Here is a 23,959-nt window from a genome sequence, read left to right as displayed (position 1 = left end):
AAAAGGGAGGACTCCACTTAGCCATGCTTACCATAGGTGAACATGCGTGGCGAGGTCAATTCAATGTTGGGCAGGGCACCCAGGTGGTTCAGCACGGCGCACCGATAGCCATTTTTCTGGGCGTAGTCAACGAAAGTGCGGATGTATTGCTTCTCGCTGTGATTGGCAATTCCAGGGCAGATGACCATGGTGATATCATCTATAGCGTAGAGAAAGAGATCCTGATGTATCCAAGAAATGTGACATGATAAATGGACATAATTACACTTCACTGGTCTAGAAAACAAGGGGAGGGAATTCAACATACATCTTTCACTCAGTTCTCTGGGGAAGAATTTTTCCCTTCTAGCTGGAGCTGTCTATATCAGTGCTTCTCAAGCTATTTATAGTGAAGGGTTTGTTTTGAAAATGTCCAGTAAGTCATGAACAGATACTTTTGAAAAGACAATAGAAGTTAATTACTGGAAAAATGAAATGAAAAATATACAAACCTCAATTTTCTACTATAAGATTCAACAAATATAAAATTACTCTGTCACATTGCTATAGAAGTTCCTGAACATTACTCTTAATTTCTGTAAGAAATTCTATATGAATGAATGAATGAGAAGATAAAAAGTGGTGTTTGCACAGACCTCTTTGACCCAGCAATTTTACTTTCAGTTATTTATCCGACAGATGTAATTGTACATATGTAAAACAATATATATGCATTAGGTTGTGTTCAATCATGCAATACATATTCTTTTGCATATGGCTGAACACAATCTAAATGCCCAGAAATAGGGGTCTGGTTGGATAAATTATTGCATATCTAAGTGATGAAATATTATGAAGCCCTTAAAAATAATGAGACATCTTTATATACACTCATGTGGCAAGCTCTTCCATAAATTAAGTGAAAAAATGCTAAATGCAGAAGGGGGTTATAATAATGCTGCCTTTTGTGTGGAGAAAAAAAAGATATCTATATTTACAAATGCATCCACTATCTTGGAATCACACACAAGAACCTTGAGAGTGGGTACCACTGAGCAGGGGTAGGGATGGAGAGTAGAGGACAGAGAGAGAGATACTTTCACTGTATACTGTTAGTACCTTGTGAACTTTCTATCATGAATGTGACTTGCCTACTTAAAAATATGAATACATACTTTTCTTTAAAAGAAAAGAGGTGCTTAGGTCATTAAATTTGATCATAATTTTTCTTCAAATTAAGATTTTTAAAATTTAGAAATTCTTAATGCTGGTAGGGAAATGTGAATTAGTAAGCAATTTTCCAATATGCATAAAGAACCTTAAAAATTTTGTAAACTGTTGGATGTAGTGGCACACGTCTGTATTCCAACCATTTGCGAGGCTGAGGCAGGAGGATCGTTTGAGCCCAGTAGTTCAAGGCTGTAGATCACAATGACCGTATCTGTAAACAGTCACTGTACCTCTAAACAGGGCAACACAGCAAGACTCCATCTCTTTATAAAATTTATAAGCTTCGACCTAGTAAATTCCAATTCTTGAAATCCTGCCTAAAATTTTCTGATGAAGGATGATATAATTATTGATAATCACAAAGTTGTAAATAAGTTAAATGCCCAACCATAGAAGAATGGTTTAATTATAATATGACCACATTGTAGAATATTAAGCAATTATTAAAATTGTGTTTTTGAAGACTTTTAGAGTTTTAATACATGGGAAAGTCTTTATAATATCACATATGATAATTCAGATTTTGGAAAAACAATGCATAGAACTGTAAGAAAATGGAACAAAACGTTAATAATATATGTTGGGTGACAAAATTATGGGTGATTCTTATTTTTTAAATGTATTATTCATATTTTCTAAAATCAGTACTTCTTTTATAGTCAGAAAAAAAATCAGAAAAGGTGAAAAAGAGCTGTTTTTCTTAAAGTACATCTTAGGTACAAATACTGCCTTCCCTAGAAGCACCTTTGTCAGTCATTTCTGGGGGCAGGAGTGATGGAAAAACATGAGCAAGTACAAGGAAGAATCACTCTTCTGCCCTTTTCAACTTTCCATGTTGGTCCTGGTAGGAAGAGCAGATGGTCAAACTAAACTTTGTGCTTTAGTGGTAGAAGAAGAAAAAGCATTAGAAATAAGGGAAAGAAAACATTTAACTGGGTATGGTGAATAAATAACTATTGGAAAAACCAGCTACAGATTTATAAACACAGTGTGAACTCCTCACCTATTCATGTATTCATCTCTTCCATGGCTGTTTATTAGAAGCCAGCTATTCGGGGCTCTGGGGATTCCTACATTCTAGCAGATAAATAATACACAAGCACACAAATAGGTTTCGAGAGTAGAAGCTACCACGAAGAACTAAAGCAGGAAGTCGTGATGGATTTACTGAGAAGGAAACACTAGTTAGGGGAGTCAGAGACAGTCCCTCTGAGGAGATGACATCTGAGCTGAGACCTGAATGACAAGGAGGAGGCAGCCATGTGAAGGTCTGGGGACCAGCATTCCAGGCAGAGGGAATATCAATTAAATCTTTGTCACCAGCTACTCAGCAGTTCTAGCCACTTTAAATACCTAATATGTTTACTGGAATTTACCCATAAATAACTACTGAGTTCCTATTTAAAAAAAACAAAAAATAAGTTGCTTTTGAATACTATAGAATGCAAAAGACATGTTCTCTTTTGGTAGCAATAGCATTCAAAAGGATGCTTGTAGTAACTCCACTTCCTCAAAAGTCTTCATTATGAAGCATTTTAGAATGAATGCTATTTGTATAGGCTAGACAGAACAATGCCAAATTCCAGCAGCAATGAAAATTTCAGTTATCTCTCAGAAATAGGTGTCCTAGACCACTGCATGATAGATATGACCTCAATGTGTCTATTTGTCCAGGGAAACCTAAGCAAAGGGAACCTGGGAGCCTTTTAATCTACTGCTATCCAACAAACGCCAGCCTATACTGCATCTCCGAGCTTCAGTTTCCTCATCAGTAAAGTAGGGATAGTAAATACCAGCCTCACAGCGCTATTTGAGGATTAAATGAGATAACAGTATACACGAAGCACTGAGAATGGTCTGGCCTCTGTTGCTGTCATCAACCCAGAGGCCTGGTCCTGGGGTGCCTGGGCTCCAAGCACTCCCTCATCCCCGTACATCAAGCTTCTGTATTTCACAACAGGATTAAAACCTATTCTACGGCTGGGGGCGGTGGCTCACGCCTGTAATCCCAGCACTTTGGGAGGCCGAGGCAGGCAGATCACGAGGTCAGGAGATCGAGACCATCCTGGCTAACACAGTTAAAACCCGTCTCTACTAAAAATACAAAAAAAAAATTAGCCGAGCGTGGTGGCTGGCGCCTGTAGTCCCAGCTACTCGGGAGGCTGAGGCAGGCGAATGGAGTGAACCTGGGAGGCGGAGCTTGCAGTGAGCCGAGATCGTGCCACCGCACTCCAGCCTGGGCGACACAGCGAGACTCCGTCTCAAAAAAAAAAAAAAAACTATTCTACAATGAGTTCTGAAGAGCTTTACATGGTGACTGGCAAACATACGCTGAAGCTAACCTTTGCAGGCTGCTCCTAAGTGACGAATCCCAGCAGGCTTCCCAACAGCCCCTGATGCCATGGGCAGAGTCAGTGGCACAAGTATTCACACTGCTGTGCTCTCCACTGACTAGTGCTCCTTCTCTGAGTGATGGCTCAATCACACAATCTAAAGCAGCTCACCTCCAACACAGTGCTCAGCCAAGGGCTCGAAGAGGTCGAATGTAGAAGTGGCTCCATCAGACATAGTGATGAACTTCCGGTGCCCATAAGGATGTGGCGACCTCACCCTTCCCATCTTCCCATACAAGGCTGTCTGGATGTGTCCACTTTTCCCCCAGATCAACGGTGGAATGTATCTAAAGAAAGGACAAGGGAGGTCAATTTTCTCTACATTCCTTGAGCAACGTTCTGAAAAATCTTTTAGCAAAACTCTTTCAACCTATTTTTGTTCCAGGGAAATTCTGCACACAAAGCATAAACATGAGGCTTTTATTACGTTACATCCGTGCCATGATTTACCGCCTTTCCCCATTTACTAATACACTCTGCATCAGATTAGCTTTAGAAATCAACCAGGACATATATATAAAGAGGATTTCAATTTAGGGTAACTGTTAAGTAATTCAACATGGCTTATTTCCATAATATAGAATAAAAAGAAAGCAAGTGATATATTTTGAACACATTCTAACTTGACAGGTTAGCTCATTATTAAAGGAGCTGATGTATATGAAATAGCATAGCGCCTACACTCACTAAAAGCTCACTTCTTCTTTCCCTAACGAGACAGGCCACAGCTGTAGTGGTTACTCCATTAGCCAAACCTGCTACTCTCAGTTAGTGCTGGGAAGGGCTGCAAATTCTTCTAAGAGCCTGTAAGTGCCTTGTGGGGTGAGGGCACTACTCTATGCTCCAGAGAATATGCTGTAAGGGCAGTGCAGTGTAAATATTTGTTGGATTGATTAAGGATAAAGGCTTGTTAGCCTACGCAAGGCATGAAGCCTCGCTAACAACGGTGCATTGTAAAAACACAGAGTGACTCTAGGCGTTGGTAGGAAATGCAAAAATCACAAATAGTTAATTACCAGGAAAAGAAGATGATCCAAGTTACAACTAAGAAATGATTATGGTTTACAACCACAGTACAAGGTGACTGCATTTACTGAAACCGCTGTTGGTTTCACTTCCATGGCTTTTAGCCCAAGCTTGATGGTTGTCCAGGATTTGTCTCCTATATAAACTGGAGTCGTATAATATAAAATGATAGTGACGTCAATCATTCCCCTCTGTATTATATGGCAGTGGTGAGTGTTTTATTAATAATTTACCTTAACCTACTTGCCTATCATTTCTCTCAGAACCAGATGATCCCCAAAACCCATCTTTGATTTACTCCTTGTATGTGTGTGTAATTAATCAAATCTACACAAAGTTAAGAGAAGTGAAGCTATCACCTTAAGCAAACCAGTTCCCAGACAAGCTTCCTTTTCGGGGGAGGGGAGGAGGGGAAAGAGTATTTTAAGACCTTAAGGACATGAAGCCACTTGCCAGCGTAACACCACAGGTGCAAATATCACTGCAAAAGCCATGGCATTTGGAAGGCAGGCGAAGGCATTTATAAGAGCTGAGTGGATTATGACAGTAACAAAAAGCAAGCTTATAAAAATGTCAATTGGACAACCAAACACTATACAAGATCTAGATACAGAACTTATAAAGGATTTCAGACTACCAAGTTAGATAATAAGTTTTGCATAGAGGAAGAGGACTATCCAAGAAATTAAGCTTTTGATCACTCCTGGAGGAAAGTTTAAAGAAAATTTTGTTTATAAATTAAAAGTGGAAATATGCTGAGCTTAAAAATATCAGAAGAATGAGTAAATTTCATATGCCTACCTTCTGATCATGTTTAGAATACAATATAATCTCAGAAAATAGAACAAAAGAATGAAGTAAAATTTCTTTTTGTCTAGTCACAGATTTCACATTTAATGATGACACATGTGACTGTCCTGATGCCACATTCCCAGTTTAGAGTCAGGTCCCCTCCTCAAAATCTTGGCAGCAGCCCCCCAAGCGGCCTCCAAGCCTCTAGTCTTGCTCTCACCACCTACTCCATCATCCACCCGCCAATGGAGGGGTGATCTCAACACACAAGCCTGGCCCCCACCCTCCACTGCATGGGTCCTCACTTGGCCTAGGAGGCCGGCTACACCCTGGTACTCGCTTAACTTCTTGCCTAAGCTCAAATAAACCTAAACTACCAGGCCCAACTCCAGCCAGAACAGGTACACGTGGTGTTGAACTACTTTTATCTGAGGAGTCTTTGCTCAAGCTGTCTCCTTTGACTGGAATGCTCTTTCACACCCAGCGTTTCTTTGGGCCACCTACTACTTGTCTTTCAAGACTCACTTCCAGTCAGGTTGCTGGGGGGGTTGCCCCTTCTCCATGCACAGCTCCGTCCTAACATCCAGGTGACTTGATTACTTTAGATGCTGTTTTCAAGCCAACCCCTCCTGCTGCTCATTCACCTCTAGCTCTATCCCCAGAGCACTGGACATACATTACACACCTGGGGGAGATTTGCTTCAATGAACAGAATATAGAGACACTTAGTAAATCTAAAAGGACAAATATATGTTTTTAAAATATACAAAAATATATTTAAAAATAATATGTGCCATAATAATGTGAATTCAGCTATTACATGATTGGCGTTAGGCGACTGTCCTCTTTCCAGCCTACCTAACACCCCATTCTCAGAGTGGGGTGCAGTAATTCTCAGTGTGAGTGTGTGTGTGTGTGTGTGTGTGTGTGTTAGGGATCAATTGCCTCACAATCACTTGGGACTTTCTCAGTTCAATGTAAGATCAATTATACACAGTGGAAGTCTCAAAAGGTTTAATTTTATGACAATACCTACTGATAAAACACTGTTTTTAATTAACTTCATAATAATACAACACCAGGGTTTACAAAATTGAATTTTTAGACTGCATTTACTATGGTGGGGTTCAATGTGTAGTTGTTTGTTTATATAACTTATCCACAGACCACAAGAAAAAAATTTAAAAACAAAAAACTGAATAGGTGCCCAGTCACATGGTTTAGGTCAGGAAGGAAATATGGACTAAAACAATAGAATATTTTGAAATTTATATAAACATATAAATACTGAAGAAATGCTGCTAAAATGGTACACGAAGGAATATGCTTTTTCTATCTATGTGGTAGTTCGAAAATGTAGCGGCCAATAATTCCACTTATTCCATTCTTCTGCCGGGAGCTAGATTCCCTCCTTGTGATCTGGACTGGCCTGTGGCTTCTCTGGGCTTACAGAAGGTGGCAGAAGGACTGCCATGCCAATTTAGGCCTGGCCCTTAGGAGATATGGCTGCTTTTGCACTCTCCTCCTTGTAAGCCTGATGAGAGGGCATACAGAAGGCACTGTGATGGAACTGAGAGGTATGTGCGTTTTACATTTTGTAGATACTGCCAAGTTGCCTTCTAAAAAAGATGGGTTCATTTACATTCCCACCAATAACGAAGGAAAGTACCTGTCTTCCTCACCCTCATTAATAATTGGCATTATTAATCTTTTACATTCTGGCCACTTTGATGGGCAAAAAAATGGGTATCTTGTTTCAACTTGTGTTTAAGGTTGACCCAATCTATGGTTGAAAAAAAGTTGCTTGTTTGAATTTGCATTTCGCTGATTCATGTTTACTAGTCATTTGTATTTCTCTTCTGTGAACTGTCTGTTGATATCCTTTGTCTATTTTTCTATTGATTTATAAGTATTGTTTTATTATCCCTACATTAAGCCATTATCTATCATATGTTACAAATGTTTTCTCCAATCTATTGTATATTTTAACTTTATTTTATGTAGTTTTTTTTTTTTTTTTTTTTTTTGAGACGGAGTCTCACTCTGTCACCTAGGCTGGAGTGCAGTGGAGCGATCTCGGCTCACTGCTACCTCTGCCTCCCGGGTCCAACAGATTCTCTTGCCTCAGCCTCCCTAGAAGCTCAGATTACAGGCACGCATGTCATCACGCCCGGCTGATTTTTGTATTCTTAGTAGAGATGGGGTTTTACCATGTTGGCCAGGCTGGTCTTGAACTCCTGGCCTCAGGTGATCAGCCCACTTCAGCCTCTCGGCCTCCCAAAGTGCTGGCATTACAGGCGTGAGCCACTGTGCCCGGCCCTAGTTTTTAATCTTTTATGGTTAAAAATATCTTTTATAGTTATAAAAATATCTTTTATAGTTAAAAGTATCTTTTATGGTTATATAACAAGATAAAGTTAAAATATACAATAGATTTTGTTGTGTTTTGTTAAAACCTTTGTGTTTTGCATTTTGTTTTAAAAAGAGCTATGCAGCCGGGCGCAGTGGCTCACGCCTGTAATCCCAGCACTTTGGGAGGCCGAGGCAGGCGGATCACGAGGTCAGGAGATCGAGACCATCCTGGCTAACACGGTGAAACCCCGTCTCTACTGAAAATACAAAAAATTAGCCGGGCGTGGTGGCGGGCACCTGTAATCCCAGCTACTTGGGAGGCTGAGGCAGGAGAATGGCGTAAACCTGGGAGGCGGAGCTTGCAGTGAGCAGAGATCGCGCCACTGCACTCCAGCCTGGGCGAAAGAGCGAGACTCTGTCTCAAAAAAAAAAAAAAAAAAAAAGAGCTATGCAATACCCAATTATAAACATAATTCCCAATGTTTCCTTCTATTACTTCTATAGTTTTAAAAAATGTATTAACCTTAAATCCACTTACTTTTATAAAATGATGTGAAGGGAAGATATAATTCATTTTTTTCTGACAGACTAGCTCATTGTCCTTGCACAATGAATGGCCTATCGTTTCCCTACTTTCAGTGGACATCTTTAATATACACCAAGTTCTCAATTAAATATTTAGATTTGGTTCTATACTTTGTATTCTAGTTTATTGATCTATTTGTCTATGCATATGCCAGTATGACACTGCTTTAATTAATATAGCTTTATGAGATACTTTGATAGTTGATAGCGCAGGCTGCCTTTGTTATTTTTCAAAATTTTCTTGGCAGATTTCAGCATTTTATTTTCCAGATTAATTATAGGATTAGCTTGTTTAGTTCTATAAAAATTTTAGATTTTTGATTGGAAACACGACAAATATATATTACCTAGGAGATAATTGACACCTTTACAATACTGATGTGTCCCATCCAAAAACATGGTACATCTCTCCATTAAATCCTATAGTAAAATTTCATTGCTTTCTTCATGTTTTACAGAATATTCCATTTTTACTACGCTAATTTGCATGTCTTTCTGTCTGTATTTTTTAAAGCTATTCTTGAGTTGAAGCATCTGGGCATGTTTTACCCTTAACTCCCTGAAAGTAGAAACAGTCTCTTCTACTTCTTTACTAATCCTTATGGTATTGTGGCCAATGTTGTGCCGTGGCCAGCGGTTAATAAATGTTTGTTACTAACAAACAAGCTGGGCCACAACAAAATATAGAGGCCAGCCTGTCCTTATCTTCTGAGCCTATTTATAATCGACATCTGGCTTACTAAGAGAATTGGTCAGTGGGAAAGACCACAAGGGTCTGGATCTCCCTCCCACCCCCCATATACATACGTACACACACACACACACACACACACACACACACACACACACACACGTACGTCTTTGAGCAGATGAAGCTCACATAGGCACGGACAGCTGGTGTTTTAAAAAGAGAGTTGAAAAAATAAAGTTGACTGATGCTCATCTTTGCCTTAAACCAGTGGGTGACCAGTTCTTCCTTATGGTACCTAAGTTCCTTGGCTGTAAATCAAACTATTTTATAGCTAGTGATTAAACTCAGACTTCACTGTTATTTCCTTTGATTCTCCCTTGTACTTCTCTACCAAATTAGCACAGGACTTGGCACACACTAGATGTTTAGGATATGTTGCCTGAGATTGAGTCCTCACATCTCAGCAAGTTGCAGCAAGTCCTTTCCAGTGAACAAAATGCCCATCAGCAGCTACTCCTCAGCATTTGAAGTTTCTGTCAGATAGGATGCATTGCTTAAAGCAACAAAACCCAACTCTGACTAACTTAAGAAAGGAGTACACAGAAGGACACTGGGGTGCCTACTAAATGGAAAAGAGGCTGGAGAACCAGGCGTGAAATGAGGGCAGGATCCAAGAAAGAAACCAGGGGGCTGTTCCAGGGATGTGCTTTTTACACCATTAGTACCAGTGTCCCCCCACCCTACTCAAAGGTCAATGTCCCAGGAGTACGGCAACTAAAAGGGATGCCTTCAATTTCAGAGTGGGTGGGCGACACACTTTGATTTATTACCTGCATGCAGTGGGAGAGAAGAACTTCCCCAAGGGGAAATTTGTATGCCCTTAGAAAGGAAGAATGAATGCTAGGCAGCCAGAAGGGGACAGACGTCCCCTGAAAGGTTTTGAGCTGGGCTTGTCTTTGATTCAAGAGGCTTCTTTACTGCCCTGATACCCCACGGCCCACATTAAACCATCATGTTCCCATCTAGTTCTTCTGAAGGCTCATCTTTCTGTCCCTGTCCCCAACTCTTGGCATTTCACATACTTCTCAAATGTATTTATTTGAGCATCTGCTTTACCTGCAACACAATGTACATAAGAAACAGGAGAAACAGGTAATCTCCTTAAATGTTGTTTTCTTCTCTCCATGCATCCATTTTCTAAAAGCAAATCTGAGCACACAAAAGGGCTGAAGTGTTTTTTTGTTTTGTTTTGTTTCGTTTTTGCAATGGAGTCTCACTCTGTAGCCCAGGCTGGAGTGCAATGGCACCATCTCGGCTCACTGCAACCTTCACCTCCTGGGTTCAAGTGATTCTGCTGCTTCAGCCTCTGGAGTAGCTGGGATTACAGGCACCTGCCACCACGCCTGGCTAATTTCATATTTTTAGTAGAGATGGAGTTTCACCATGTTGGCCAGGCTGGTCTCAAACTCATGACCTCAAGTGATCTGCCTGCCTTGGCCTCCCAAAGTGCTGGGATTACAGGTGTGAGCCACTGTGCCCGGCCTACTGGAGTTGTTTTTTCAAGAAGACATCTAGGAAAGTAGAGTTTCTAAGACTCCTGGTCAATGATCTTTACTGGTCTTAAAGCACAGTAACACATTTTGAATTCATCACTTTGTCCCCACGACTTTTTTGAGGTAAAATACATATAACATTTTAAAGTCTACAATTCAGTAGCATTTAATACATTCAAAATATTGGGCACTCATCACCTCTATCTAGTTCCAGAATATTTCATCACTGCAAAAGGAAAGCCTGTATGCATGAAGCAGTCACTTCCCATTTTCTCCGTCTCCCATTCCCTGGCAACCACTAATCTGCTCTCTGTCTCTGTAGGTTGACATATTCTGTATATTTCTTATCAACAGAATTATCAACATGTGACCTTTTGTCTTGGGATTTTTCACTTAGCATAATGTTTTGAGAGTCATCCATGCTGCAACATGTTATCAGTAATTCATTCCTTTTTACGGCTGAATAGTATTTCATTGTATGAATATACCACATTTTGTTTATTTTTTCATCAGTTATAGACACTGAATGGTAGGCCCGGTGTGGTGGCTCACGCCTGTAACCCCAGCACTTTGGGAGGCCAAGGCAGGCAGATCACTTGAGGTCAGGAGTTTGAGACCAGCCTGGTCAACATGGTGAAACCCCATCCCTACTAAAAATACAAAATTAGCCAGGCATGGTGGCACACACCTGTAATTCCAGCTACTCGGGAGGCTGAGGCAGGAGAATTGCTTGAACCCAGGAGGCGGAGGTTGCAGTGAGCTGAGATTGTGCCACTACACTAAAGCCTGGGCGACAGAGTGAGACCGTATCTCAAAAAAAAAGAAAAAAGACATTGGATGGTTTCCAATTTTTGGCTATTGTGAATAGCACTGCTGTGAGCATTTATGTACAGGCTTTTGTTTGAACATCTGTTTTCAATTCTCTGGGTTGTGTCCCAGAAGTGGAATTTCTGGGTCATATGGCAATTCTATGTTTAACTTTTTGGGGATACTCCAAACTTTTTCCCACAGCAGCTGTACCATTTTATATTCCCAATCAGGAACATACAAGAGTCCCAATTTCTCCATATCCTCACCAACAGTTGCTGTTGTCCATTGAAAAGAAATTACTATAGCTATCCTAGTGGGTGTGAAGTGGCATCTCTTGGTGGTTTTGATGTGCATTTCCTTTATGACTAATGATCTTGAACATCCCCTTTTGACTTGAGGCCATTTCCTTCTACTCTATCTCTATTTTCATCTCTATGTCTAAAATTAATCACATTTTTTTTTTTTTGTTTTGAGATGGAGTTTTGCTCTTATTGCCCAGGCTGGAGTGCAATGGCGCAATCTCAGCTCGGTGCAATTTCGGCTCACTGCAACCTCCGCCTCCTGGGTTCAAGCGATTCTCCTGCCTAAGCCTCCCATGTAGCTGGGATTACAGGCATGCACCACTATGCCCAGCTAATTTTGTATTTTTAGTACAGACGGGGTTTCTCCATGTTGGTCAGGCTGGTCTTGAACTCCCGACCTCAGGTGATCCACCCGCCTCGGCCTCCCAAAGTGCTGGGATTACAGGCGTGAGCCACCGCACTTGGCCACACTTTTTTTAAAAAATGAATTAGTTGATAAATATATACTATCAGTCTCCTGTTTATCTCCCAGTGGTTCGTTCAAAGAATCAACTGATAATAAAACTGGCAATAGTTAAAACTGCATGTGGTAAATTGAATACTGGGATTGTCTAAAAATTGACAGAAGAATCTAGTTTTCATAAAAACATTTAGACCTGTAAAATTGAACTTAGAGAATTGGACTTGGTGGAACTAACAGCCGCAAGAGAACTTGCTATAGCAGAAGCTATGGTCATAATATATGACACGGACAAAAAAACGATTAATGACTCCAGTCTTTGTAGTAAATTTAAATGGAAAACAACCCTGATGAAGATAAAATTTAACTGTATTGTATTAAAAAAAAACTCATCATGGAATCGAATTGGCTCAGCAGACTTTGTTTTAGAAAATATTTTCCCAAAGAAAAATTCTTTAATGTTAGCCTAACTCTGATGAAAATATTTATATTCAAAATGTCACTGGGTTCAACCCCTCCTGCATTCAATGGGAACGCAGGAGGCTAGAATCCGACTGGTATTCCGTTCCTGCATGTTCCTCCTTCCCAGCCCAACCCAAGACAAGAGACTTGAGACCAATAAATGTGACGATATGAGCTGAAAAGTAAGGAACTGGGTGGAGAAGAAGATCCCAAATGTGGTGATGGCTCAGGGGCTGTGGAGGGGAAGGCTGGGCAGGCCACTTGCTGAGGAGCTCCGTGGGGGTCCTCTGAGTAGTCTGGCTTCTCCTCCTTAACAAGGCAAGAGTAAGGCTCATGATTTCACAGATTAAAAAGGAATGAGAGGAAATAGTTACCGTGCTCTAATTTAGCTGCAAGAACGAGATACATGCTAAGGCAAATGCCACTGGAATCTTACTACAGCAAAGAAATTATGTCACCCGGAGTGAAACCTGGGGCCTCTCCCTTTGCAACTTCAGAAACATTAAGGATGTCCCCCCAAGCTCTTTAACAAAGGAAGTCAAGGATGTTTGAGGTACTAATCTCAGTGGTTCTAGCATCAAGAATTTATTTACCTTTTTTCTTTGAACACGGCATAATAAATAAAACTGCTATTTTATTTATCTATACAGCACTTCATAGTTTTTCAAAGTCCTTTTTAAAATGATCTCATTTGCCTTCAATGACAATTTTGTGAAATGGGCAGATACTGTTAACCCCACTTTACCACAGGGATCCTGAGGCTAGGGAGTTCATGGCTTGGCCACATTCACACTGCTAGTCAAGAGCAGGGTTGAGACTTCAACTGGGGCCTTGGCCACTGCGTCCAGGGCTTATTTGGATGATAAAACAAACATGATAAGGACAGACAGATGCTTTCATTCTAGAGACTCCTATGAGTCTATTAGTCATCCTTTAAAAATATTAGTTATCTAGAACCAATGTGATGAGACCAAACATATCTGGAGTCGTCAACAGCCAACCTCTACCTTTAAAAATATATCAAATTAGCATGTATATATTCTGATGCTGGCCATTTTAAAGGTTATCTTGAACTAGGGGCTTTTCAGCAACACGGAGAACCCTGGTAGATATTCCTGATAGAAATCTGTTTATTGAGGAGCTGGTCAACGTGGGCTTCCAAGCCAGAAGCTGGCACTAAACAGGAGAAAGGGTAAAGAGACCAAGTTCTGGGGCTCAGGCAAGTACTAAACAACACTAGTCACAACAAAGGGGGATCACTCAGGAGTAACTCCCTCTTCCCCTCTTCCTGCTTTAACTTTTTTTTTTGAGACAGAGTTGCCCAGGCTGGAGTGCAGTGGCGTGATCTCTGCTCACTGCAGCCTCCATCTCCCGGGTTCAAGCGATTCTCGCACCTCAGCCTCCTGGGTAGCTGGGGTTACAGGCGCACGCCACCATGCCTGGCTAATTTTTGTATTTTTAGCAGAGATGGGATTTCACCATGTTGGCCAGGCTGGTCTTGAAGTCCTTACCTCAAGAGATCTGCCCACCTCGGCCTTCCAAAGTGCTGGGATTAACAGGTGTGAGCCACAGTGCCTGGCCGTTCTGTTTTTATAGTGGGGTCACATGTCGCCCGCAGCTTGGTTCTCAAGTTAAAAGGCGAAACTGTCAGGCTGGGTGTGGTGGCTCATGCCTGTAATCCCAGCAATTTGGGAGGCCAAGTGGGAGGACTGCTTGAGGCCAGGAGTTTGAGACCAGCCTGGGTGACATAGGAAGACCTCATCTATACCAAAAAATTAATTAATTAATTAATTAATTAGCTGGGTGTGGTGGCACATGCCTGTGGTCCCAGCTATTTGGGAGGCTGAGTTAAGAGGATCACTTGAGCCCAGGAGGTCAAGGCTGCAGTGAGTTATGATCGGGCCACTGCACTCCAGCATGGGTGACAGAGTAAGACTCTGTCCAACAAAAAAAAAAAAGTGAAACTAAACTATTAACTATAATAAAGTTATGCCCTGAGCATCCCTTAGTAACACACTGTCTCTGGGCAAAGGGAGCCAGGCAGTTCTCCCTCAGTGCCACGAAGATGGCTGGGGCTGTGGATAAGCACAGATGGCACTGGTGGCTTGAGGTTAAGGCCATGTTGTGAAACAAAGGAAATGGAAAACAAAAACACATCTTTAAACGTGAAGATACAGTAAGGTGCTCTCTCTCGCAGGAGAGACACACAGGCCCTGGTACCAGCAGAGGTGACGTGAGGCTCCCAGATCACACACAGGGGGGGCCTGTGCTCCTTTGAATGGAGAAGCTGGCAGAAGGGTCAGCACAAATAAGGTGGTGTGTGTATGTGTGTGTCTGTGTGTGTGTGGGGGTCTCTCTCTCAATCTGTAGAGTTGAATTTGCATAAGTTAAATGTACATATGTAACTCCATTATATATTAGAAAGCATATCAAGATAATAGCTAACTATATTGTAACGTTAAAAAAAAAGAAGAAATTCATCTTTAATTTATCACCTGCCTAAATTCCAAAGCATCAGGTACAAGAAGGAATTTCAAGCACAGAGAAGTGTTTTTGCTGGATTCTGTTGGGCAAACACAGCCACCTCCAGTATTTGCCTGGAACTTACTCTAGAGGTTTATTTAAAAGGTCATCCAGCAAAATGAATGGCTATCTTCTCCAGGGCTTGTGACCATAAAATGTCAGGTCCACAGGTCTTTCAGTAGAGCTTGAGGAAAAGAACTGCTAACATAGCACGTGAGTGGAAGCCTCACAAGTCCACAGGCTCTGACTGTTCCTAACACAGGCTGCTCAGCTCTACACACCGGCTGTGTCACTTTACACTCTGCCCTCAGACTCCCCTCTCTTTCTGCAAAACCCAAGTCCAAAGGGACTCTTCAGCCACTGAGGCAAAACGCAGAGGTGTTACATCATCCTGGGAAGCCCTCCCAAGAAGAAAACTCTCTCCATCAGGGCTACAGAGACCTGCTGCGTGGCTGCTCCAGACAACTGCACACTCAAATGGCTGGTGATGTCCTCTGCTGGCTGCGTGCTGAAACTCCGGTCAGATTCTAGTTAGGTGCCAAGACTGTTAGGAGACATAGGCTCGGGATGTTTCCTCAGTTTCCAGAGAGAATGCCCATCTTCACAGGCCCTCCACTCTGCTTACTTGAGTGCACACACTCAAGGGAAGAAAAGCAAATTTTTCATTTCAGAAAAAAATATTTGTCCACTGAGAAAAAAAGGTGACCTTTACTCTGACAAACAGATTTGTTTTCAGAGTGACAACATGGACTGAGGATGCCCAACTAGGAGTGTGCTGCTGGCACCTGGGGCCAAACCAAAGATGTTATCAGGTCCGAACCTGCCTCTACCTATATTTTATTTTGGCTCTTATATATTGATTTAATAAAATTCAACAAATACGAGTGCTGTGAGGCATACAGAGATTAGAGCCGGACACAGTGACCGCCCTGGTGGCATTCGTAATCTGAAGGTAGGATGCATGATGAATACACAGGCAGCTACTGTCACAGACAGGAGCGGTGGGCAATGGGGTCAGAGAGATAGAATAGGATGATACTATGGGGAGACAATCATGAGGCTGAGAAGTACCAATTTCACTTAGTGCATCATGGGGAGTACCAAGATCTCAGAGAGGAGAGATATTTCTGAGCACCAAATCTCTCCATCAGGAGCTGGGTGAGTCATGTCTCTAGTTTATTTATTTACTTATTTTTAGAGACAAGGTCTTACTCTGTCACCCAGGCTGGAGTGCAGTGGTACAACTACGGCTCACTGCAGCTTTAACCTCCCATGCTCAAGCAATCCTCCCATCTCAGCCGCCTGAGTAGCTGGGACCACAGGCACATGCCACCATGCCCAGTTAATTTTTTTTTGTAGAGACAGGGTCTTGCTATGTCGCCAGGGCTGGTCTTGATCTCCCGGGCTCAAGCAATCCTCCCACCTCAGCCTCCCACAGTGCTGGAATTATAGAAGTGAGCCATCCTGCCCGGCCTTCTAGCTTAATCTTCACAATTCTGAGCAATGGTGTCTTCCCCGTTTTAAAAATGAGGAAAAAAAAAGAAAAAAAAAAAGCTAGGATTAGAGGACAGGTCTCTGATTCAGTCCAAAGCGTTCCTTACTTTATCACACTCAAGACTCATCAACTCCCCCAACCAGAAGTTAAAATAACAGCTTTGTGCCTATTTTCTCCTGTCTGATCAACTGTCAAAATGTTCTATATTAAATAATGTTTCTTCAAATTGAAAACTGAATTTGTTGGAGCTTCTCTACAGTGGTCTTCACAGGTCTTTGAAAAAAAACATTTCTTTCGTTTTGCATGTTTCTCACAACTGTAACTGACTTCTTGTTAGAGGAGTTTTTTTCTGCAGAAGATACATCTGGGGGCTAATTAATTTGAATATTCACATTTAATTATCTCTAAGATAAGGCCAGAATGTTAACAAAATCATACTGAATATCTCCCCAAAGATCCAGGAGAGCGATGACAGTGAGAGCAAGAGAGGATGGAAGTGCTTCTAGAAAGGTGACAGGTGTTTGATTTGGGGATACATTTTTACCCTACTTTCATGGGTGAGAATAAACCCAGGAGGACAAGCATCAGTGGTGGGGGAAACACTGGGAGTGAAGCTTTGTGGCAGCTCCACGAGTCTGCAAACTGAGTTCCAGGCCTTCCTGTGTGTGCACATGTGCATGTGCATGCATGTGTGTGCACACAGGAAAGGTAAGGAAGCCGGCAAGGGCCAGAGTTTAGGAGAACATTTTGTCAGTTCTTTTCCAGATCCTGAACTGCCAGAGCCTCCCTGCTCCACAGGCCTGGAAGCCAGGGCCCTTGCTGCTCCTACCACAGACACCTCTGGTTTCTTTTCTGGCCTATCTACCCCTAGCCTGGTGGACCTGAAGCCAGCAGGTCAACAGCAGGTCCTTCGTGAGCCCATCCCACTGGGCTTCACCCTTCTCCACTAGGACACAGCCCCCACTGGAAGCCCTTCTTTTCAGGAGGGCCAGATGTGGAGTAGACCCTGTGTGCACATCTCACCAGTCCTACTGGGGAGGTAAGGCTGAGGCTGGGAAAGGGCTTCCTCATTAGCTTCAGGAACAAACACCTTGGGCCTTTCATCTCAAAATGGCAGCAACATATTCAGCTTCCCAAACACCCATTAATAGGCTCATCAGAAATCCACTTTGAACACAGCATTTTCCCCTCACTGGAGGCAAATTCTTCTCCACAGCTGTCACACATTACATTTTCACTGTTGTTGCTAAATGCTCTATTCCTGAATTGCAGGATCTGCACAGGAAAATTCCAATGCAGAGACTGTTTCTGCCTGAAATGACCAAAAGTGGCCTGAGGAAACAAAAGAGCAATCCTCTTCCGTTCCCGAACTGGTTTCTAAATACAGGACGGAGGCCACTGGGCCAGGCTGGTACATCTGTGACCTTTGTGCATATCGTGCAAACTATAAAATATGAATGTTAGGAGAACAGCCCCATGAGTTACAATAAAACCACTTAAAAAGAAACTACTTTTTTGCTCCAAGGAAAAATAAATGTGCTTTTCTAAAGTTCAAAGAAAACCAGTTAAAACCCCTCAGAACTGTATCCACATGTTAAATGCATCTGATCCCACTATCTTCCTGTTCACAAACAGCACGCGGAACTGGTCACATCCTCCCTAGGCACACCAAAGCACAGTCCTCTCTCCTCACGTTGCATTTCAACCTGGTTTTGACACCATGCTTTAAGTAGGGAGGCAGTTTATTAAGAAGCTCCAGAGTTCCAGTCTCCAGGGTTCCACTGGAACCCTGGATCCGTTAGAGAACTGGTCCTGCAAACAGCCAGTCAAAGATTAGTGACCTAACTTTAGGAGAAGGCACCACTATTCCCAGACCTGGGCTGCCAAGGTGCTAAGTGCAAAGTTCCCAGACTCACTCTGTGCTAACCAAACAGGATGTACGCTGACGCTCAGAACACAGAGCACCCGTGTCTTGTCCCCATCTGCCTAGTCACCTCTCTCCTGAGGACATGCACATAGATGCCAATGGTCTGCTCTTTGTCCAACACAGTGCCTTTTGGCTACTTCCCAGGCCAAGGCTACCTCAAAATCTGTGCCAGCGTTATGGGGAGGGAAGATTAGAGCTGGAAAATCACATTATATTTGCCACTATTCCTAGTGGAGGAAAACTCAAATACCTAAATGTGAAGCCCCTGGATTACCTACACAGAATGCTCTTTTAAGAACACGCTAATCAACTAGGAGCTGCGCTGGCTGGAGAGCAATGTTATAGAGCGGAGAGAGTGAGGAGGCTGCACCTGGCTCCCGATATCACAGCCATTGCAGTACAATGAGCTCCATAGAGATAGCACTGGGGCAAGTGAGAGCCAGATGGGCACTGGGCAATTCTGTGCCTTGCTGAGGAAAAATAACTAAACATGGGCAAAGGAGACCCTAAGAAGCCAAGAGAGAAAATGCCATCATATGCATTTTTTGTGCAAACTTGTAGGGAGGCACATAAGAACAAACATCCAGATGCTTCAGTCAACTCCTCAGAGTTTTCTAAGAAGTGCTCAGAGAGGTGGAAGACCATGCCTACTAAACAGAAAGGAAAATTCGAAGATATGGCAAAGGCAGACAGGGCCCATACGAAAGAGAAACGAAAACCTGTATCTTTCCTAAAGGGGAGACAAAAAAGACGTTCAGGCTGGGTGTGGTGGCTCACGCCTGTAATCTCAGCACTTTGGGAGGCTGAGGCGGGTAGATCACCTAAGGTCAGGAGTTCGAGGCCAGCCTGGCCAAGACAGTGAAAGCCCGTCTCTACTGAAAAAAAAAAAAAAATTGCCAGGCATGGTGGCGGGCGTCTGTAATCCCAGCTACTCGGGAGGCTGAGGCAAAAGAATCGCTTGAACCTGGGAGGCAGAGGTTGCAGTGAGCTGAGATTGCGCCATTGCACTCCAGCCTGGGCAACAAAAGGGAAACTCCATCTCAAAAGAAAAAAAAAAAAGTTAAAGGATCCCAGTGCACCCAAGAGGCCTCCTTCGGCCTTCTTCCTGTTCTGTTCTGTCCTGTTCTGTTCTGTTCTGAGTATCGCCCAAATATCAAAGGAGAACATCTGGCCTGTCCACTAATGATGTTGCAAAGAAACTGGGAGAGATGTGGAATAACATTGCTGCAGATGACAGGCAGCCTTATAAAAAGAAGGCTGCGAAGCTGAAGGAAAAGTAAGAAAAGGATATTGCTGCATATCGGGCTAAAGGAAAGCCTGCTGCAGCAAAAAAAGGGAGTTGTCAAGGCTGAAAAAAGCAAGAAAAAGAAGGAAGAGGAGGAAGATGAGGAAGATGAAGAGGATAAGAATGAGGAGGAGGAAGATGAAGATGATGATGAATAAGTTGGTTCTAGTGTAGTTTTTTTTCTCGTCTATAAAGCATTTAACCTGTACATAACTCACTCCTTTTAAAGAAAAAAACTGAAATGTAAGGCTGTGTAAGATTTGTTTTTAAACTGTACAATGTCTTTTTTTTTTTGTATAGTTAACACACTACCAAATGTGTCTTTAGATATCCCTGTCCTGGTGGTATTTTCAATAGCCACCAACCTTGCCTAGTACAGTATGGGGATTGTAAACTGGCATGGAAATTAAAAGCAGGTTCTTGTTAGTGCATGGCACAAATTAGTTATATATGGGGATGGTAGTTTTTTCATCTTCAGTTGTCTCTGATGCAGCTTATATAAAATGACTGTTGTTAAGTGAATACCACTCTGTAATTGCAAAAAAAAAAAAAAAAAAGAAAAAGTTGTAGCCATTTTGTTGACATTCTGAATGCTTCTAAGCAAATACAATTTTTTATTAAAAATAAATAAAGAAAGAACACACCAATCAAGAGATGACTTTAAGGATTAAAATGCTGACATTTGACATCAGCATTTGTACTACATCTTGCCTTTCTTTGATGTGCAGAAAACAACTCATAAAATGGCAAGCAATGATGTTAGGAAAAAGTAGGTTCTACAAATATTTAATGAAAATTATGTTTCTTTTGTCAGTAATTATATAGATCATTACTAATAAGCCATACTCAAAACTTGACCCCATTCTTGCTCCCAGGGAGTTCACAATCAAGAAAAGGAGATAAGAAAACTTTATAATGCTCTTTCGGGCTCAAAGACTTGAATAAATGAACTTGCACTGGAAAACTTGGCATCACAAACATGTCAATTTTCCCTAAATTACCTATAAACTTAAGAGATACACAATAAAAATAATAAGATTTTTATATGTGGAATTAAACAAGCATTCTAAAGTTCATTTGGAAAAATGAACCAGCTATAATAGCCAAGAAAAGTATGAAAACAAGCAGTGCTGGGGTATGAGCATCGCCCCACTGCCCACAGCAAAACATAGTACAAAGCTGCAATCTGCTGATGGTATATGTTCAGGACCATCAACAGAACACAAAAGACTGGAAATATGCCTAAATACATCCAGGAAATTTAGTTGGTGAAAAAGGTGGCATTTGAATAATGGGGTAAAGATGGATTGTTTAATAGTGTTGGACAAAGTGTAGCCGTCTTGAAAAAAATTATGTTGGAGCCACACCTCACACCAGGATAAATTCTGGAAGGATGAAACATTTCAAAATAAAAATGAAATCATTCATATGCTAGAAGAAATTCTAGGCTTTTAAAAATAATCTTGCAGTGAAGAAGACCTTTCTAAGGAAACCAGAAATCCCAGAAGCCACAAAAGAAACAATTGAAAAATTTAATTATGCAAACATTAAAAAAAATTATGCGGCCGGGCGCCGTGGCTCACGCCTGTAATCCCAGCACTCTGGGAGGCTGAGGCGGGAGGATCACGAGGTCAGGAGATCGAGGCCATCCTGGCTAACATGGTGAAACCCCGTCTCTACTAAAAATACAAAAAAAATTAGCCGGTCGTGGTGGCAGGCACCCGTAGTCCCAGCTACTCAGGAGGCTGAGGCAGGAGAATGGTGTGAACCCAGGAGGCGGAGCTTGCAGTGAGCCGAGATCACGCCACTGCACTCTAGCCTGGGTGACAGAGCGAGACTCTGTCTCAAAAAAAAAAAAAAAAAAAATTATGCATGGCAAATACCACTATGGGCAAAGTCAAAAGACAAATGACAAACTGAGAACAAATATTTGCAATTCATATCACAAAGGGCTAATTTCCCTAGTACATAAAGAGCTCCCTCAAATGATTAGGAAAAAGACCAATGACCATCAGAAAAATGGTTAGAGGCCACCAACAGGCAGTGAACAGAAAAGGAAATAAAAAGAGTTCTAAAATATGAAAAGATACACAGTCTCTTTAATCAAAGAAAGACTAATTAAAACCACAGTGAGAAAACATTTTTCACCTACCAGATTGGCAAATATCAAAAAGTAGAACTCCTGATGTTGGCAACGTTTTGGGGAAATGTGCTCACAGTGCTGGTGTGGAGAGGCTTGAGGACAACAGCTAGCAAAATTTTCCATGCACATCCCCTTTGACCCAGTAGTTCCACCTCTAGGAGTTTATCCTATACTGACAGGTGCGCATCGTGATGAAAATACAGAAGCATTCAATGCAACATTGTGAAAGCAAAAGATTACAAATAAAGGAAACCTCTATCTAGGAGACTGGTTAAACAAACTATTTTTTTATGGAATACGAAGCAGTCAAGACATAAATGGAGGAAGCTCTTTCAGCACTCCTATGGACAAATCTCTGAGTGATATTTCACAAAGAAAAGATGGAAGGATAAACAAGAGCCGACTGACAGCAAGGGCAACACGGAGGGTACAAGGTCATAGGTTCTACTGGCTGATAAAAGAACCTCTGGGAAATGCAGCCAGGCTTCTTGACCAGGGTGAGCCTTGAGCACAAATGTAAGAGGAAGGAAATGATGCAGCTGCCCTGGAGCTTTCCGTCAGAGGAACAGTTACAAAAAGCTGATAGAAGCCACTGTTGATGGCTGTGGGTTAGCCCTGTTGAAATGGCAGCCCTCCCCTACGGTATGTGGGCACAGGAAAACATTTTCTCAGATGGTCAACAACTCCATCCTTGAGAAACCCCAGCTTAGGCACCAGACCTTCATCTTGTCCACAAAGTGAGAGAGCGCCACCAAACCATGCAGATAAGCATGTTCTAGAAAGTCCTACTAAAGCAAAGTCCATCTCTCTTTACATATAAAGGACAAATGCAAAGGACAGTGCTGGTGTCACTGCTTATTATTAGGAATGAACAAGATAATGGCTTTCAAAACTATGAAAGATGAAATGCATATTCAGAGTCCTCTTAATTTCATATCAATTTGAAATAGCTATAAGAAATTAGAAGCTTAAAAATCACCCATATCCTCACAAGCCTTGCAAAAATATTCTCATTTTTGTTTCCTTTTCATCTATATCTATCTGAAAGCAGAGTATTTACATAGTTACAACAATGGTGCTCAGATAGAGATATATAATTGTCTTCTGCTTTTTTCACTTATTCTCTATTTTTATAGATAATTAGTATGCTAAGTTCTGAACGTCTGCATAAAATTCTATCCTGTTTATTAGCTATAGTTAAGGGAGGGAGCAAACATTTATTTAGCCCCTTCTATGGGCATGTTACATAATTCAATTTGTCCCTTACAGCGATTCTTATTATTAGGACCCCCTTTACAGACAGAAACTGAGTGTCCAACAGCCTACTGCACAGCGGACCCTGCATTTGAACTCTGTGTGTGTCTGACCCGACAGCTCTTTCTTTCCCCTGCATTATCTTGCTGCTGCCTCCATTGTTGGATGCTGCTATTCCCAGTTTTTACTATAATAAACAATGCCAGCAAAACATCTTTACATATTTTGTTTTCATCTTTCTTGAATTTTTTTTTCATGTTTTTCAACTCCTGTTTAAAAAGTCCAACAGGATGCCTCATCTGTCTCCTGACTCCTGCCCCTGAGAGATGACTATTCTTAACTCCTTTAGTCGTCCCTACCATCCCACACTTGCCTTTATTTCTTAATGCCATGCTTATCCTGCTTATGCTGGTTCTTCAATTTCAGTTTTCAATAGCACCTATTGAACTTCCTACTCTGGAGGGTGCTAGCTCTCTTACGTCTCTCCTAAGACTTACATTTTCCCCTCGCCCATTCTTTTCAACACTGTTACAGCAACACTTATGGTTAATTTTCAGTGTTTATAAAATTATAATTATGGAAATATTAGCCACAAAGAAGTCATATGTTGTATTCTTTTTTGTGAAATTTTTTATTTTCCCTCAAGTTATCACTTTTATCATTTCCTCATCAGCTTAGTTTTCTATGTGCCAATCAT

The 23,959-nt window shown here is 41.7% G+C and overlaps 1 protein-coding gene and 1 pseudogene across 15 annotated transcripts in view, besides 2 other annotated features; one reads left to right on the top strand and one right to left on the bottom strand.

Annotated features, from left to right (window-relative positions):
* ABHD2 (abhydrolase domain containing 2, acylglycerol lipase) overlaps window positions 1-23,959 on the bottom strand; it is a 161,358-nt gene that overhangs the window by 46,790 nt on the left and 90,609 nt on the right. For all 15 annotated transcript variants that reach the window (NM_001416423.1, NM_001416424.1, NM_007011.8 and 12 more), the window contains 2 exons: window positions 3,714-3,889; window positions 32-199 (listed from right to left, as the gene is read on the bottom strand). In NM_001416423.1, coding sequence (NP_001403352.1) covers window positions 32-199; window positions 3,714-3,889 — 344 coding nt within the window. The remainder of the gene's footprint in view (window positions 1-31; window positions 200-3,713; window positions 3,890-23,959) is intronic.
* Window positions 15,005-15,504: an enhancer, noted in NCBI's record as "H3K27ac hESC enhancer chr15:89683293-89683792 (GRCh37/hg19 assembly coordinates)". NCBI's record gives its function as "activates a minimal SCP1, AML or CMV promoter by ChIP-STARR-seq in primed H9 embryonic stem cells {active_cell/tissue: H9 hESC(primed)}" and the evidence as "EXISTENCE:reporter gene assay evidence [ECO:0000049][PMID:30033119]".
* Window positions 15,505-16,006: an enhancer, noted in NCBI's record as "H3K27ac hESC enhancer chr15:89682791-89683292 (GRCh37/hg19 assembly coordinates)". NCBI's record gives its function as "activates a minimal SCP1, AML or CMV promoter by ChIP-STARR-seq in primed H9 embryonic stem cells {active_cell/tissue: H9 hESC(primed)}" and the evidence as "EXISTENCE:reporter gene assay evidence [ECO:0000049][PMID:30033119]".
* Window positions 18,881-20,485, top strand: HMGB1P8 (high mobility group box 1 pseudogene 8; annotated as a pseudogene).

The sequence above is a fragment of the Homo sapiens genome, chromosome 15 (assembly GCF_000001405.40).
Source record: "Homo sapiens chromosome 15, GRCh38.p14 Primary Assembly".
Classification (NCBI taxonomy): Eukaryota; Metazoa; Chordata; class Mammalia; order Primates; family Hominidae; genus Homo; species Homo sapiens.
The sequence above is the reverse complement of the archived record's forward strand: the minus strand, read 5'-3'. Positions and strand labels throughout refer to the sequence as shown.